Source organism: Homo sapiens, chromosome 10, assembly GCF_000001405.40.
Source record: "Homo sapiens chromosome 10, GRCh38.p14 Primary Assembly".
Taxonomy (NCBI): Eukaryota; Metazoa; Chordata; class Mammalia; order Primates; family Hominidae; genus Homo; species Homo sapiens.
This window is the reverse complement of record NC_000010.11, coordinates 60,886,301-60,905,244: the sequence shown is the minus strand read 5'-3', so window position 1 is coordinate 60,905,244 and position 18,944 is coordinate 60,886,301. Positions and strand designations below refer to the sequence as shown.

At 39.3% G+C, this 18,944-nt stretch overlaps 1 protein-coding gene and 1 long non-coding RNA gene across 56 annotated transcripts in view; one reads left to right on the top strand and one right to left on the bottom strand.

Annotated features, from left to right (window-relative positions):
• RHOBTB1 (Rho related BTB domain containing 1) overlaps window positions 1-18,944 on the top strand; it is a 141,108-nt gene that overhangs the window by 96,723 nt on the left and 25,441 nt on the right. For 50 of the 55 annotated variants that reach the window (XR_007062022.1, XR_007062020.1, XR_007062021.1 and 47 more), the window contains 2 exons: window positions 12,250-12,435; window positions 16,060-17,033. Coding sequence is in view for 52 of the 55 variants with exons in the window: in XM_047426080.1 (XP_047282036.1) it covers window positions 12,250-12,435; window positions 16,060-17,033 (1,160 nt within the window). In the remaining 3 variants the exon portion in view is untranslated. Of the gene's footprint in view, window positions 1-6,514; window positions 6,572-12,249; window positions 12,436-16,059; window positions 17,034-18,944 lie in introns of all 55 variants that reach the window. The other 5 variants (NM_001350907.2, NM_001350908.2, NM_001350906.2 and 2 more) reach the window with 1 other exon arrangement.
• LOC124902432 (uncharacterized) lies at window positions 3,317-5,730 on the bottom strand. The gene is made up of 3 exons (XR_007062152.1): window positions 5,646-5,730; window positions 4,205-4,274; window positions 3,317-3,389 (listed from the first exon to the last, which is right to left on the bottom strand). It is a non-coding gene; the product is annotated as an uncharacterized LOC124902432 (long non-coding RNA).

Here is an 18,944-nt window from a genome sequence, read left to right as displayed (position 1 = left end):
ACTGCTGACCTTGTGATCTGCCCGCCTTGGCTTCCCAAAGTGCTGGGATTACAGGCATGAGCTACCATGCCCAGCCTGAATTTTTTTTTTTTTTTAAGTATTATCTGGATCACTGAAGTTTTTTTGGTACCCTCTTACATTTTGCACTTGAAGAAGTGCTTCATTTTCTTCACTCAAGTACTGGCCCTAATGGCAGACTTTATAAATAGATAGCAAAGTAACTAAGGGAAGAAAGTTAGCAATGCATGTGCTTTTTATGGAAAAGTAATCCAAACCACACTTTTAAATATATGGTACCAAGAGGTCTTGGAAAATTATTACTGGTTGTGTCTTAAAGACATTCAGTTCAGTGTGCTGCTGTAACAAAAAGAACTAAAAATTGCTCAGGTTATAGAAAAAAGTAGAAAGGCATGAAAGAAAAGCAGCAATTTGAACCAAGAGATAGAAATAGTTGTTCCCTAAGAGGTTAGGTTAAAACTGTTAGCTCTCCTATTTGAACAGAGCAGTCATTCGGATGTAAGAGTTCTGGAAGAGGTGAATCAGCCAATTTTAGCCAGTACCTAGAAGACTCTGAGGCAGATGGTCCTCTGGCCCCACTTTGGTAAACACCGTCCTGGAATTTTCTGATACTCGTTACCAAACCTCAGCCAGAAGGGAAGAATTTTTGACGATTAGAGAGAGAGCTTTTGAGTAAGGGACGCCAAGCAAAAAAGAGCACATACTGTGTGATTCCATTTCTGTAACATCCTAGAAAATGCAATCTAATCTATAGTGACGGAAAGTAGATCACTGGTTTCCTAGAGAAGAGGATGGAGGGGAGGGATGGATCACAAAGGAACATAAGGAAATTTTAGGGGTGATGGAAATGTTTGCCATTTTGATCATGATGATGGTTCATGGGGAATACGTATGTCAAAATTAATCAAATTAAACAATAAATATGCAAATTTGGTATATTTCCATTATATCTCAATAAAAATTCTTTAAGACGAGAAATAGGCCAGGTGCAATGGCTCATGCCTATAATCCCAGCACTCTGGGAGGCTGAGGCAGGTGGATCACTTGAGGCCAGGTGTTTGAGATCAGCCTGGCCAACATGGTGTAGCCCCATCTCTACTAAAAAAATACAAAAAATTAGCCAGGTGTTGTGGCTACTCGGGAGGTTGAGGTGGGAGAATCACCTGAGTGTGGGAGGTGGTGGCTGCAGTGAGCTAGGATTGCACAACTGTACTATAGCCTGGGAAACAGAGCAAGACCCTGTCTCAAAAAAAAAAGAAAAGAAAAGAAATATCCTTATGGACAAAGTAGTCTATGATATATGAAGAAAGGTTTGTGTGTTAGACTATATATGTTTTAATTATTTATGGAACTTTAAGTTAGTCTCGTTGAAAACGTAAATCACTATGTGAACTTAAAAAAATGGAACCAGATCCTTAATAGCTGAATATAACCCTGAAACTAACGATGGGACACTGTCATACTGTCACACAAAATCATGCTGGTTCCCTTTTCTCAGAGATAGAACCCCCCCTGCCTCAGTGGCTCATAGTCTGACCCAGGGGCCCATAGTCTGACCCAGGGGCCTGTTTCTCAGCCTGTGGTTATGTTTATATCTTTTTCTAGCAAGAAACGTTTCACCAGATACCCTGTGATAGCCAAATAGAGAACACCACGTTCTGTGAAAATTTTCCGTTTCTTCATCAAATAGTAACAATTTTGTCTTTTGTAGCTGGTTCGTTCTGGAACTGGTGAACATGGTGGTAATCTCTGGCAGCATGCACGTGACCTCTGTTTTGTACCCAGTCACTCTGACTAGAAATTGGGTGCCGAGTTGAGTGATCAAGTGGGTCCTCTCACTGGGGTTGGTTACTAGACTCATGGGCATGAGACTCCATTCTTATTTGTTTCTCTGGATTGAATCCCAGCCTGCCTTCCCAGCCTCCTGTCTTGGTCCAGACATAACAAAGTATTTGCAGTTCTGTGCCCTTTGTACCCTCCAGGCCCACAAACATGCATTATGTTAGAATTTAGGCCCCTATCCCACCTATTCTCAAGCTAGCTAATCACTACTCATATGCTAAGAATTAGAACAAGTGTCACGTACTCCTAGAATTCCTCTCTGCACTCTTCCCACCCTCTCTGTCACCTTCGGAATCCAGGTGAGGTGTCTCTCCGTATGTTCCCATAGGACAGCTTTGCAAATCCCTATCGTAGCAATAACTGTATTGCGGGAAAATTGGCTCCTTAATTTTCTCCCATTCCCCTTATCCTATTATCCTAGTATATTTAGGACAGAGATTTTGTCTTTCTATTTTCTATCCCCGATACGTGGCCTGGTGTCTTGTAGGAGCTTGATCGATGTTAGTTGAACGAGTTGACAAATCTCTCATGTGTTCCAGGATCTTCTAAGGCATAGACAAGGAAATAGTCTTATAACAAATGCCAAATTATTTTACTAAGTTGAATTTTATATATGCCCTTTTGTAATAAGAATAACAAATGATGGATCAACCTGCAGGTGATGAAGATGGAAAATACTGGTGCTTAGCCTCTCCTTAGTGAATTAGCAAACGGAAAGATCAGCTGCCCCCAGGAGAAAAAGGAGAGAGTTACACTCAGCCACACCCTCAAATCCTCCCTTGTTTTCCCCAAGTTTTTGGACTTGTAAATTTTTTTGGTAATGCCTTTTGTGAATGAGTATTCTTAAACAGTGAATTACTTGTATGAATAATAACGCTTTTCCAATTATAGGTTGTTTCTCCTCTGGGTATCATTTTCAAGATCTTTATAAGAATAATTTTTAAGAATAATTATATAGAGAAACATTTTTTAATCCATTTGCCTAAAGATGAGAGCATTAAGTAGAACAATTAAAGGTGGATTATTGCTGTTATGTGATCATCCAAAACAAACAGATACGTGTTAGACTACATGCATACAAATAATTCAAAAAATTAAATCTGTGATGGAAGTTTAGGGATTCTGTACTAAAGAACTCAAGCATAGAATTGCAGTGAAGCTGAATCATCTGGCGCACAGAAGATACATGTACCATTCTCTGTGCCACCCTCAGCCTGCTGTCCCACACTGTCCTTCGCGCTCTGAACTGGTACATCTTGTATTCTACCCAGAAGGGAAAAACAGAAGAGCTGGGATTCCTATGCCTGACCCAGCCTTGTCCCCAGGATGAAATTGTCCTTGGAAAGCGGAGTGCCAAATGAGATAGCAACAGGGCTTGATTGATGCCTGGGGCTCACCCATGTGCCAGGGCCAGGAAGGATTTTGGCTGCTGCCCAAGCACCAGTCACATGGCTGGGTTCTTTGTGGCTCAGCCCAGAAAAGCATTGATGGGCCCAAGAGAGTCCACAGGAGTGCGATTAATGAGGCCACTGCAATGGGCAAAGAGAATAAGGAATATATGCATTGTTCAGTACATTAATGTCTTATGTTCTGCGTTCCTTTTACTTTTTTTCTATTACTGCTTAATAACAGGAAGCTTGACAAGTTGGTCAAATACAACTAAGTATGTTGACTTTTCATGATGAAAGAAGAAAAGAAAACATCAGTTTGTGATGTGTTTATACTGGAACTTTCTGATGAAGAAATATATTCCAGCCCATACAGTTTTTCCTTTCAAAGTAGGTGGTGAAAAGAAAGAGACTGTTAAATAATTCTGCATATCCTCAGTGGATAATTCTGTTACCTATCTTTCAGCTATTCCATATCAATAAAGGACACAGCTGGTAATCCAAAAGGAAAGGATCTCTTGATGAAAGTGTTCTGCCATTCTTATTAAAGTCAACATACAAGATACACTCTTAGTGATTTTTGAACCCATAATTATATTTGTCTGATAATAATTGGCACTTAACGGTTACAGAACACTTTCACTGATATTTTCCTTAGTGAATCTTAACAACAATTCTACCAGTAATTTCTAATATTTGCCATGATTAGACTTTCAAAATTAGTCCACCACTTTATTCTCCCCCAAAAATGCCTCTGCCCTCAGCCTAGAGAGAATAAGTCAGAAGGAGGAAGTTCTGAATTGCAGACACAGAAATCACATTAGTGAATTCTTTTTTCAATGTATCATCTTGACTATGCTTTTAGTGATTTGCTTGTTTGTTTTGTGTGTTTTTTAAAAGCAAGATGGTCTGTGCAATAGAGGGCTTTCTTAAGCCTTAATTCTGTTGTAACTTACCTGGAATTAATCCTGAAAGTAACCTGTCCATTTCTTTACATTTCCTTTGCTTCTGGAGATAATCTAATTCCTGGAAGAAATTATTAATGCATTATTATTCTGATGTTATGAAATTATCCAATTACATGGGGTAAAGAGATTTTTTAGAGAAATTCAAATAATTAAAATATATAGAGATTAACCGGTTAACCTCTGCCGTATACCAGAGGTATTACATGGCAGTCTTTCAGCATTAACAGTCTGAAGAACTGTAATGGCTCACATTATATTTTCATTCTTTATTGAAGTTCCAAGTGATTCTCTGACTTACTTTAAGCCTAAATTCATCTGTTTTAGACTTTGAGTCTGCAGACACATTTGTATATGCAGGTTTTACTTTCTGATATCCATAAGGCCTTTTAATTTAATAAAAATTAATTGAGGGCCTGTTTCCTTACACTGTGTGCGCACAATGAGAGAGAAATTAATAGGAACAGGACAAAATCCCTGAAAATGACCTCATAGTACGGTGGAAAAGACAGCTACATAAACCATTACAATTCAGGGTTAACAATGCTGAACTAGAGGTGTCAGTTCCCGGAACAGGGAAGCAGAAATAAATAGCTCACGAAAAAGCTTATCATTATTCTGAACTCTTTTGGTTCACATCACACATCTGATCCTCAGGCTATACCTTCAGTGTGTGTATACAGAATGCAGCCACTTCCACCTGTAGGGGACCCCTCCCAGGCTCAGCAGAGTCACCATCCTCTCTCTCGGAATTCTTACCTCTTAATTGGTCCTCTGCTTCTTCCTGCCTTTCCCTCCCTATCCGCTGACCCTCCCAGTCCTCTCCCACTCTTACCTTGCCACCAATTTAGTCCATTCTCATTAAAGCAATGGACTGACACTGTTCAAACATAAATTATATCACTACGTTCTGCTCAAAGACTTCAGTTTCCCCTCACGACTGTGCTCCAGCAGAATGGCATGGTCCCTTCCTCCAGGAGGGCACCACAGGCAGGCTCCTACCTCGGGCCTTTGCTCTGTTTCCTCTTCTGCTAGGTTCTTCCCCCAGATACTGGCATACTGATTCCCTCCCTTCCCCAAGGGCTTCTGGAAATGTCACCTTCTCAGCGAGGCCCTCCCTAGCCACCTCATTTTCAACAGCAATTTTTGCTTCCCAATATCTCTGTCCCCTTTCCCTGCTTTATTTTCTAATTGGCACTTAGCACTACCTATTTTTAATATTTTTCTTCTTGATTGTCTGTCTTCACTAGAATGTGAACATAATGAGATCAAGTGTGACAAGGACAGCAGTTTGTGTCTTTTACTAATCACTCTATCCCCAATGTCTAGAAGAATGCCTGGTACACAGTAGGTTCTCAATTACTATTTCTGCAAGAAATGATTAGATGGTTGATGAATAATACTGGATAAGTGACTTGACCATTCCTGATACCTTTACTGATTCAAAGAGAGTTGCCAAGGAGGCTGGGTAGAGTCCTTTTGTCATCATGGTCAAATGATCGTGCTGGTTTACCCAGTTTGGTCTCAGAAGAGTCGGGGAGGTTAATCCCAGAGACCTCCCATGTAGCGCGGTAGCTGACACTGAAGTTTTCTTATGCGTGCAACTTGCCCTCAGAAGAAAACATGAAAAGTAGAGGAAGGAAGTTCCTCAGTCATTCAGCTTCAGGGAATGCCAAAGAGGAATATGAACTCCAGACGGAGTTGAAAGAGAGTTTATTACCACAATTTCACCTTCGTCTGTTTAGCAAGCCTTCTTTACTTCAGTGCCTCCTGCATTCGTTGACCAGGAGTTAAGTAGGACTGTTTAAGCTGTTTCTTTTAATAAATTATTTGTGCTTCACGCAATTTCACATGCATTCAACTTCTGATGATTATGTGAGGTGTAAGAATAAACTAACGGGAGTATGATTTGCCAAGTATAGAAAATGAGATTTTGAGTGGAAAATGGCCTGATTTCATTGGATGATAACCCACAACCTTCTTTGGCAAGGCCATTAACCCCTATGATATTTGTACTATGATGGTAGAACCAACCATTTCTAAGACTCAAGTATTAGGTTGGTGCAAACGTAATTGCGGTTTTTGCCATTGCTTTCAATATTATCTACCTTAGGGTTTGGTGGCATTGCTGGGATGCTGATGTGACTTCCCTGCACTTAAGAGCATGCATTGCTTTGGCCCCACTTTCAGAGGGTGGTGGAAGACTGGTTTAAAATATTGCTTCCTACTAAACATGCAGATACGGGCTTGGAAAAAAATAGTTGCACAAGCTAATCACTCACAAATCTGGATATATTTCAGGATGTTTTGACAGTTTTCCCCACATAACATCTGTACTTAAGAAGCCTCACGCTATTGGTAAAGTATTAACTTGATTTATCTGCTCACATCCAGGGCACTGCATGGTTCTGCCCTGCTATCCCCAGATCCCCTGCCAGGCGCTCCCCTACAGGCCTCTCCATCCTCCATGAGTATGAGCTTACACGGCCATTCATCTCCTGGTGGTTATGTGCACCATCACTGACAACTCCCTCTGCATCTCATACACACTGGGCTGCTCCCCTACTAAAATTTTCCAAAGCCACGTGTTACACATTCCTTTTCTCTGCCATGCTCCCAGCTGTTTTGTGCTGTTTTGATCTGTCTGTTTGCATAGCCCTGTCAGACTATATGCATGAAAGATATGTTGTCGACATGAATGGTTTTGAAAATGTTTCTGTAAAGAACCTACCTCAGTTACCAGCAGGGAAAAAGAAGCTTGAAGCCCCAAAGAAGGTCAGACACTCCTACTTGAATCTTTGCCAGAGGGGGACTCATGCACAGTGACAAAGAAAAGAAGCCCATTAAAATGTGACCACAATGTCTGTCCATATACTGGATATGGGGAGTCTCTCCTAAAAAAATAAGTAATAATAGTCAATGATGACATATAAAGAGGTGGGATCCTACCATGGAACAAAAGAATTTGTACAAATGTACATTGAAAGGAGATACTTCAAGCAGAACTTGGGTAAATATAATTATTAGCGGCCAGGCGCGGTGGCTCATGCCTGTAATCCCAGCTCTTTGCAAAGCCGAGGTGGGAAGATCACAAGGTCAGGAGTTCAAGACCAGCCTGGCCAACATGGTGAAACCCCATCTCTACTAAAAATACAAAAAATTAGCCAGGCATGGTCATGCGCCTGTAATCCCAGCTACTCGGGAGGCTGAGGCAGGAGAGTTGCTTGAACCCGGGAGGTGGAGGTTGCAGTGAGCCGAGATTGAGCCACTTCACTCCAGCCTGGGCAACAGAGCAAGACTCCATCTCAAAAAAAAAATTATATGTATATGTATGTAATTGTTAGCTTATTCTTGGTCACCAAGTGTTACTGTATCAAGAGACCCAACCAGACTCAGACAAACTGGAGAAGGGCATTTGGCTGTCCCACTCATAGCTTTCTGGAGAACTTGGTGGAGTCCACTGTCCTTCTCATTGCCCGTAAAATTTACCTGATCTGAAGCTTCTAGATAAAAAGATAATGTCAGAATTATTCTTTCACTTAACCAGGTAAGAAAACCCAAGGCCCACAGCTCCTCAGCTGGATGATAGTGGCAAAATAAATGATACTAGAAAAGGAAAGTCAAACTAAGAAGACAGTACTTTTGTGACAGGAAAGAATTTAGAAGAAAATTCATTTAACAATAAAAGTTTGTTACTGATTATCAATTCTTTTCCGACCATGTCTTCAAAGGATGAATCTGGTATTTCAGATTGGAAAAAAAGTTGAGCTTCTGGTTGCTTCTCTGATCTTTTCCCACCAACTCTGCTATATTTGACTGTAGACATTATAAAGACAGTCTCTGAGAACATGTGTGGTATTTTGCTGTTCAAAGTCTAGCTAGGGCCAAGATATGTGGGTAAGATGCACTTTTTTTGGATTTTTTTTTCTTTAATCCTCCAACAAAGATTGGTCCCAACTTTGCATGTACTCCTTATGTTATTCAAATATCCTTGCCAATCTTTCACATGCTATCTTTGGCCAGTGTTCCCCTCGAAAGATAACTGAAAAAAAATGCTTTTTTTTGTTTGTTTAAAATCTGAAGTAAAACTGATGCAGCTGAGCTTGGCTTTATCAGCTCAGGCATTTTTGGATGACTTGGTCTCTCTGATTCACTCCCACTCCTCTATGAAACAAGATCTCCAATTGTTTCAACATTTCGATTTATTTCAGATTGTTTTTGATTTGACTAGTCAAAACATTATTTCATGGACATTATTTGATGTCTTAGTACCCAGCGAAATTTTTATATTGATATTTTCTCCTTAGAAAGAAGAAGTCATTTTTCCCTAAGATATAAACATTCCGTGGGCAAGGGCAAGCAACTAAGACCATATATCCTTAAGTCCTTTGTAATTCTGGCTTTCTCTAATAAAACTGTTTAGCCCAGTGAAACATAAAATATTTAATAAAAGTAAGTACAATAAACATTCCAAACTCCTTCCTACCCCTTTTCAGTATTCAGGTTCTGGAGTTTACAATCTCATGTACCCTGTACTCTGCCTCTGCATTCTCGAATTCTTATGCTTTTTACCCCAAATATCTGTAGGACTCCATTTAAATCCTATTTGATTCTTTTACAGCTGAAACAGGACCCCTGAGGTCATTTCTAGACTAACCCTACTGCCTGATATGTGAGAATGTCCTCATCACACTCACCACTCCCAATTATTTTTAAACTGACTCTTCAAAGTTAAAAAATGTAACAGAGCCATAGAAATAGAAATGCTAGAACTTGCCTGTTTCTTTTTATCTTTCAGAGGAATGGTATTTTTTAAACACAAGCTTATGTCAGACATTGAACAGTCTCCACATGGGAATGAATGTTTTGATTAAAAGTTATTTAATATCTCTAGTTCCTTGGCATTCTGCCTAAAGCTGGAGATATTCTTAGCTGCAGGTCTTGTGCCTTCTTTGACTAGATTAAAAAAAAATGGCTCAAAATCTAGAGGGAATAAATGGCATTCTGAAAATAGTTACTTGATTGTATATGTGTTTATATCACAGAGGATACTGATGTGTTGAGAATTAGGAGTTACAAAAGAATGTTGGTAAGGAGAAATGCATCAAAGCTGCATCTTTCTATAGCTCTGTCACTGCGTCCATTGATTCCTAATGCTTAGCCTTTTGGTTAAACTTGGTTTTAGGGAGCTACGTTCATATGGCAGACCTTAAGAATAGAATTCTGTGTAATCTTTATGTAAAGTTTTCTTAACTTGCATTTGTATTTAGATCAACAAGGGTTAACCACAAGACATTTAAGCATTGTGATACTTAAAATATGATCTTGGGCCGGGCGCGGTGGCTTGCGCCTGTAATCCCAGCACTTTGGGAGGCCAAGGTGGGTGGATCACCCGAGGTGGGGAGTTTGAGACCAGCCTGACCAACAAGGAGAAACCCCGTCTCTACTAAAAATACAAAATTAGCCGGGCATGGTGGCACATGCCTGTAATCCCAGCTACTCAGGAGGCTGAATCAGGGGAATTGCTTGAACCCAGGAGGCAGAGGTTGTGGTGAGCTGAGATCATGCCAGTGCACTCCAGCCTGGGCAACAAGAGCAAAACTCCGTCTCAAAAAATAAATAAATAAAAAATAATCTTATTTTTAACTGCTTTCAGTGTAAAATAATGAGCACAGATTCTCATAGCACCTAAATGTGAATATGAAAAAAAAGAAGACCTTTTTTCTGATATACAGATAGAATTTTGACTCAATAAGTTATTTTATCTTCAGAGGTAGTATTGCTCTCAGCACAACCTCTTTTCTTTAACTATCATTATTTTGAGGTGAAATATTTACAGGACATTGAATTATTTTTCCAGCTTTCCAATGGCATTTCATGCATTTAGATATTGATGTGACATAGTTAGAAGTTGGGCCCTCAGGACCTGTATTGTGTGATGGCATTGTGCTACTATCATCACAAGATTCCTTTTTTTCCAACCCCCAAGGTCCTGTCTGTACTTGTTTACAGGTCATCTGGATAGCAACTAGTATGTGTTCAATACCATGAGTGTTATCATGGTAACCTTGACAACCAAGCTAGCTCTGATTTCAAAACCTCACATGCTGTATCATAAAATTAGAGAACAGAATTGACATTTAGCTACATGTCTGTCATATAAATTAAGCTCTGAGAATGATTCCCCTTAGAGCCATGTGTCTTAATAGGGAAATAGAAGGCACCAATTAGAACTATTTTATACATATTATAACACATTTAGGTGCTGGATATATTTCCTCAATTCTTTTTGTATAATTTTGAACCTCAGATATTCTCATTCTATTCTCACTGTACCAAAATTCATGGTGGCTTTATTTTGTGTTCAGGATGAAGCTTATAGCAGAGTTTCATCAGATACCTGATATAAATATGATTATGAATAATAGAAAACTCAGCCCATAAAAAATGTAAAATTCAAAGCATTCTTGGCTTTACTGGATACTGTTATTTATGCTGATTGTAAGTAAGACTGAGCGCAGAATATTTCACTAAGTAAATCAGAATCCCAAAGACAAGACATGTTTCCTTTTCATTTATATATTTATGCATATTTTTGCTCATATTATCCCAGCATCCAAAAATCTTGATATCTTTATTCAAGATGATTCTGAACATTCAGATTAATACATTCATCTACTTTAAGTCCTAGGTCCTCTCTTATAATTTGGAAATATTTTAATCTCAGGATTTTCTGCTCTATTTGTTGTGGTCTGGTGCAGCTTTTCTTGGATATAAATTTAAAGACACAGCTTGTGAATTACATTTAATGTAAGCACCCTGCAGTTTTCTGCATTGCAAGTGATTATTTTTAGAAATTTTATGGTTGCCTGCATATATTTGTTTGTCTTCATTGATATGTAGGGGGGGAAGCTCATTAATGATTTAAAAGGAAGGTGTTTTGATTCATCGACTTGACTCTTCTCATTACATAAACAGTAAAGGCAATGGCAATAAATTAACATCTAATGAAATTGTAAGAGTTTATTTCTGAATTTAGCTACAAGATAGTCTTGAATCCTTGGGCGTAACTTTTCTTATTCTTTGTATCCTTTTGCCTCAGTGTTTTGAAAGTCATCATTCAGCACATTTTAACCTAGAATGATGGTTTATAATTCCTATGAAAGATTCCTTTTAGCAGCTATTTATCAAACACCATAATTGGACAACTGTTTTGTAAAATAGTTCTTTGACTCCTAGAATGGTAAGTTATTATGTAAAAATGGAAGACCCTTATGTCAAAATTTACTATAAAGCAGTTTTTCTTTTCCCCATATACCTGCTTTGTATCTCATGTAACATTTGAGAAATCTGCTTCCAATATTTTCTCATCTTGTTAGTCATCAATCTAATTCTCGCCTAGTTATATGTTAAATATTACCTTCTTGCCTTACTTAGTAAAGAGTCAAAATTCCTGCAAATTCAGGATTTTTCTTTTCGGAAACAGATAAGTGGCTATGCTGTCTACATGTGTGCATAAGTGGGAAGAAGGGCAGAAATCCTTCTGTGTATTTGCTGACCCTGTACAGCAAATACTTGTTACATTTTCAGTAATGTTTAAATTGTTTGCTTTATCTCATTGGGATGAGTCATCATCACCTTTATGTTTTTTAAACTGGTGAAAGGTAGTTTGTATTTTCTTTTCTCTTGAAACTATTTCTTGTGATGAAGAGAAATAGTTCAGCATGTTGTGGTTCCAGGACTGAGACAAGTTTGGGTAATCATCTCTACCATAAAATAACTTCATCGGAAACGTCAATGCATCAGCATTCTGCAGTGCAATATGGAAATGAACTGTTAGGCTGTGTTGGTGCTGGAATGTGGGGGCTTATCAGGCTGTTTGCATGACTCCAAGATGTTTTTTAATATCTGGTCTTTTTTTTTTTTAATTGTGACATGAGATGGCATTAGAAGGATGGGGTTTGAGAGGAACCATAATGGTAAAAGAAAAAACCTGTTAAAAGGCAATACAAGCTTCTTTTATGATTTCCTTTTAGGTCTGATGTTGTGGTCCTCTGTTTTTCGATTGCTAATCCCAATTCCCTAAATCATGTGAAAAGCATGTGGTATCCAGAAATCAAGCACTTTTGCCCTCGAACACCCGTTATCCTTGTTGGGTGCCAGCTTGATCTCCGCTATGCCGACCTGGAAGCTGTTAATCGAGCCAGGCGCCCGTTAGCAAGGTAAGCCAAGGGACTCAGTGTTTCCCTGTCCTGACCAAGTTAAAATTTACAGGCAGCAGGTGTCTCTGTAGCCTGGTGTTCTGCTCTTCAACACTCCTGGATCCCATCAATCAGCCATGGGTTTTAAGTCAGCCCATAAATCATGAGGAGTGTGCCCTGAGCCCTTCTAACAGGCACCATCATCTCTGGTGTCAGAACTCATTTTTGTCAAATGATTGGACAGCACTTGAAGTAAATTCTCTAATTATGAAAGTGTGTGATTAAAAGCACTTTGAAAAGTATAAAGTATTAGACAAAATGTTGGTTACTCATAATAATGTCATCCTTGAAATTATAATTATTACAATAAAATTAGTTAACACTTAGAGGTATCTGGGCCCCAGAGAACATCAGATTCATACAAACACACATATTGAAGGGTTTTTCATCTTCCTTATATTCCTCAGTCCAACCTGTTACAGTATTTCATTCTCAAGATGACAGTGTCCACTTTTTGAAAATCATTCGGACCTATAGTTGCAAAACAAACAGTTACTACTTTTTAAATGTCTCTAGTGGTTACATTTTTAAGTGTCACAAATGTAAAATACAACTTGAAGGAGAATTTGTTTCACTATATATAAAATGTCGATATTGATTTTGGTGGGGTGTATTAGTCCATTCTCATGCTGCTAATAAAGAGATAATTGAGACTGATTTATGAAGGAAAGAGGTTTAATTGACTCACAGTTTAGCATGGCTGCGGAGGCCTCAGGAAATTTGCAATCATGGCAGAGGGGAAGAAAACACATCCTTCTTCGTATGGCGGCAGGAGAGAGAAGAATGAGAACCGAGCAAAGGCGGATGCCCTTTATAAAACCACCAGATCTCATGAGAACTTCCTCACTATTATGAGAATAGCATGGGGGAACCGCCCCCACGATTCAGTTACCTTTCACCAGGTCCCTCCCGTGACACATGGGGATTATGGGAACTATAATTCAAGATGAGATTTGAGTGGGGACATAGCCAAACCATGTGGAGGGAAATACGTTTCTTTTAAAATGTCAGTTCCCTCAAATCCCCTTTATAAAAAAACAACTTTTTATGTTTTTTTAATGTTGAACTTTTTGGCTGGAGAGCACTCCTTTTCAAAAAATTTTGATATTAATACCCTCCTCTAGGCTGGGCACAGTGGCTCATGCCTGTAAACCCAACATTTCAGGAGGCCAAGGTGGGAGGATCGCTTGAGGCCAGGATTTTGAAACCAGCCTGGGCAACATAGTGAGACCACGTCTCTAGAAAAATAAAAATAAAAATAAATCAGCCAGGACTGGTGGTGCACACCTGTGGTTTCAGCTACTTGAGAGGCTGAGGTGGGAGGATCACCTGAACCTGGGAGGACAAGGCTGCAGTGGGCCATGATTGCACCACTTCACTCCAGCCTAGGTGACAGAGCAAGACCCTGTCTCAAAAAAAAAAAAAAAAAAAAAAAAGCAAACAGCAACAACAACAAAAATCCCTTATTTTGACATTTACCTAATAGGCTTATTACAAAATTTTATATTGACACAACTTTTTATGCTCTCCAAGCAATAGTAAATGGTACTTTCTTTAGACAATTTCTGATGTTCTAGGTATGTTTTGCATTAAATTTCTAAAAACACTTTATATTCAGTTTTCACAATCCTTCTGTTCTTCAGTGCATGGACTAGGAATTGAATATTAGGGGCCATGTAGAGGTTAAGAAGTCCACAGTAAATGAGAGACTGTCCTGGCCTCAGCAACTTTCTGTATAAAAATAGGTTATGATAATCAGTCCTCACAATCATGGACTGGAGGAGAGTTGCAGAGCTATAGAGAACAGTGGAGGGGACAGTGCCTTCTACAGAGCAATTCTAAGAAGATTTTGTGAAGGAGTTTGTATTTGAGCTAAGCCTTGAAGAGTTTCATCAGTTGGTAAATTTCAAGTCAGTCTTAAGAACAAGGAACACAATGCTCTCAGGAGCGAACTTTTGAGTTAAACCTTCTTCCCTGAACTTCCCTTCCACCTTTGTCAACACCCTATAATTTTCCCTCCTTTTCATCTAAGTCGTCAAATCCAAATTCTATCCAGTATTATCTTTTTCCTCCTAAGACCAGTGTCTGTCCTATATATTACCTTTGGTGTTAAAGGCCAAATATTTATATAAGAAGGTAAGTTCCTAAGGGTGTGTGTTAGAATCAATACTTTGTGATGTGTGTCACAATAAAGCACTTCCTGCCTGTGTTCTGGAACCCATCTATGCCTTTGCCATGGTTATGCCATAACCCCAGCACTGTACTGCATCTACTGTTTCCAAAGATTTGTCCTCCCAGGGTTTGATTAGGTTGTAAATGGGCCTTGTGTGCCAGCCTAAAGGGTATGGACTTTATTCCAGGGGCTTTGTGACATCAGAGGAAGTTAAAACAGAACTGCCGCCAGGTCATAGTTGTGTTATGTAAAGACTTTTCTTGCAGCAGTGAGGACTGTGGACTAAAATGTGAGGAGTGGGTGTGAAGAAAGATTAGTTAAGGGGCTAATGCACCAGTCCAAGCAAAAGAAGGCTTGAAGAAGGGATTGGAGGAAAAAAGAAGGCAAAGATTTGAAAGAGAATTCACAAATCCAACAGAGAAGAGCTGTAGGAAGTGGATCATTTAACTAGAAGTGGGAAAGTCTTGACTCTAATTGCTTAATAGAGGTCTCTCAGCAGCCTGAAAATGTGACTTCAGACAAACCCTTTAACCTTTCTGCCTCAGTTTCCTCAGAATGTAGAACAGAAATAATACCTCACAGGGCTATTGTGAGGCTTACATGAAAAATGTATATGAATGGATTTTAAAGTTATAAAGTAAAATTCAAGTATGAGATGCTGTTGATAAAGGTGAAGGTGATGAAGAGAGTAGTGATAATGATGATAACAGCTAACATTTATCAGGCACTTACTGTCGACAAAATACTATGCTTAGCATTGCCATGCTAATAATTTAAACATTTCAATAGTCCTTCAAGATATAATTACTCATTGTTATTATTATTCCTGTCTTACAGATGGAAAAACTAATGTTTAATGAGGTTAAGTAACTTACCCAAGATTAAATAGCTAGTAAAGTGATGATCCTTCAGTTACTGTGGTTACGGCTGACAGCATTTTTTTTTAAAGAAGTAAAACACTCTCTATTTAGGCACATGGTCATGTAAATGAAAAGTTCTAAGGAATCTACAAAAAAAGCTATCAGAATTAACCTATTAATTTAGCAAAATAATAGGATAAAAGGTCAATACACAAAAATCAATTTTATTTATATAAACTAAGAAATGAACAATTGGAAAATAAAATTTAAAAAACAATGCCATTTATAATAACATAAAAACATGGAATATTTATGGATAAGCTTCACAAATTATGTGCATTGAAACTCTGAAATATTTGAAAGCATTATTTTTTCCTTCAATCATAACTCCTTTATAGTTCAAAGACTTGAGGTGGTGGCAGATTTTTCCAGAGACTAAAAGCCTGACTGGAGTTTTCAGTGTATAGTTCCATTAGGTGCTTAGATAGGCCCTTGTTACTGTTTTTTTCCTAAAACAAGGCTGATTATAATTTTTAAAATGTTCTATTTCAGGCCCATAAAGAGAGGGGATATTTTGCCCCCAGAAAAAGGCCGAGAGGTAGCAAAGGAACTTGGCTTACCATACTATGAAACAAGCGTGTTTGACCAGTTTGGTATCAAGGATGTGTTTGACAATGCAATCCGAGCAGCGCTGATTTCCCGCAGGCACCTGCAATTCTGGAAATCCCACCTAAAGAAAGTCCAGAAACCTTTACTTCAGGCACCCTTCCTACCTCCAAAAGCCCCTCCACCGGTCATCAAAATTCCAGAGTGTCCTTCCATGGGGACAAATGAAGCTGCCTGTTTACTGGACAATCCTCTATGTGCCGATGTTCTGTTCATCCTTCAGGACCAGGAACACATCTTTGCACATCGAATTTACCTCGCTACCTCTTCTTCCAAATTTTATGATCTGTTTTTAATGGAATGTGAAGAATCCCCAAATGGGAGTGAAGGAGCCTGTGAGAAAGAGAAGCAGAGCAGAGATTTCCAGGGGCGGATATTGAGTGTCGACCCAGAGGAAGAAAGGGAGGAGGGCCCGCCTAGGATTCCTCAGGCCGACCAGTGGAAGTCTTCAAACAAGAGCCTGGTGGAGGCTCTGGGGCTGGAAGCCGAGGGTGCAGTTCCTGAGACACAGACTTTGACCGGATGGAGTAAGGGGTTCATTGGCATGCACAGGGAAATGCAAGTCAACCCCATTTCAAAGCGGATGGGGCCCATGACTGTGGTCAGGATGGACGCTTCAGTCCAGCCAGGCCCTTTTCGGACCCTGCTCCAGTTTCTTTATACGGGACAACTGGATGAAAAGGAAAAGGATTTGGTGGGCCTGGCTCAGATCGCAGAGGTCCTCGAGATGTTCGATTTGAGGATGATGGTGGAAAACATCATGAACAAGGAAGCCTTCATGAACCAGGAGATTACGAAAGCCTTTCACGTAAGGAAAGCCAATCGGATAAAAGAGTGTCTCAGCAAGGGAACGTTCTCGGGTGAGTGGGCCGCGGGGCAGAGCCATTAATACCTTTGATTGTGTTTCATTGAACGTTAGCCAGACATGAGCAGGAGAAAGAAGAACGATAGCTAACATTTATACGTACTTATTTTTTCCCATGTACCTTTCTAAGCTACAGGCATTAACTTCTTTAATCCTCATCAGACTTAAAGGTTAAATATGATTGTCTCCATTTTGCAGGTGGAGAAACCAAGGGACAGAGAGGTTAGGTAATCTGCCCATGGTCACACCAGCAATAAATGGTAGAGCCAGGATTTGAACCCATGCTCTTGTGGGTATCAAAACCTGTTCCATAAACCACCATGGTACCACACTGCTCCTCAAGAGTGGATCAGGGACCCCAAGCCTATCTCCAGTGGGCTTGTTGCATACAATTCCCCTTCAGAATCTATTCTCTGACCAATTCTATTCTCCATTGACCCTTCAGCACTGACCCATGACAAAAATCAGTGATCTCAAGTCCTGAGGCCACTAAAGTCCTTGAGGCAATTTTGGTGGCCCTCCATCTTCCTACAAGGGGTGTCTCATCTGTTTCCATCCCCTCTCCTTTTCCGTCCTCATGCTCCTTGGCCCTGCACTTCTGTAGTTTTCCTGCACCTCCTTTGCCTTTGATAACTATGCCATATGCTGCCCGCAGCACCCTTTCATAATTGTTAAGCATGCTGGTGGCCCGCATCCAATATGGGTTATTGACCCATGCTTGTACTGTCTTACACTTGGACTATTTTTGTTCTGAAATTGTTCTCTGGGCTGGTGTGTGGGTGTGTGTAATTTCATCGTAAAATGTTGACTTCCTGACTTCTATTTATATGGATACCTCTACCTTTGTCTTTATCTTTTATAATCCCTGCCAGGGCATTACACATTTAGTAAGTGGTTCCTAAAGACTCAGTTCATTCATTTTAAAGCTTATGAGTAGTATTTACTTCAAACACTGGCCATTGTGTTACAGAAACAGTCTTGAAAATTAATGAAAAGAATATGTTACAAACCTACAGTAACTTAAACAGTGAGCTTTAGGTAGAGTTGATTAAATCACCTCCTCCTTACTGGAGAGGCATAATAATCAAATACAATGTGGGAGTCTCAATTGGATTCTGTTTTTTTTTTTTTAAAGCTATGAAATACGATTTAGGGATAATTGGAGAAATTTGAATATGAACAATATAGTGGATGATAATAGGGAATTATTTTTAATTTTCTTAGGTGTAATCATAGTATGGTTATTTAGGAGACTGTTGTTATTTTGGGAAAACTTGTGATAAGGTAGTTAGGAGTGAAGTGCCATGCTATCTGTAAAAAAAAAAAAGTCTATACACATACACAAAATTATACAAAAATACACATATAGCCAGGCATGGTGGCTAATTTGCCCACAGTCCCAGCTACTTCAGAGACTGAGACAGTAGGATTGCTGGAACCCGGCAGTTTAAATCCAGCCTGGACAACATAGCCAGACCCACCCCCCCCCACATCTCTTAAAAAAAACAGTAATTCGGTTACATTTTGGTATAGCATACGAGTAGAGCATATTATAAATGTAAGGTTTAATTGAGTATTAATAAGTAAAATGGTGTAAATTAAAAATATACGTAAAACAAACATGCCAAAATGTTAACAAGGATAAATGAGTGGTCATCATACTGTTCGTTCCACTGTTTTATATGCTTGAAGTTTTGCATAGCAAGGAGGAAAAAATATTCCCTCCTTTCTATTACTTTCTGGTTCAGAGAGTTTGTGCCGTGACTTTATGTGTGATGATGTCAAATACAGCATGCTGCCTTAGGTGGGAGCTGGGTGTGTCAAAGCTCAAAGATGGGGATTGACATAAAATCAGTAAGTAAAGACATGCAAGAGAGAGTAAGGGAGTCGCAGTTTGGTGGCTATG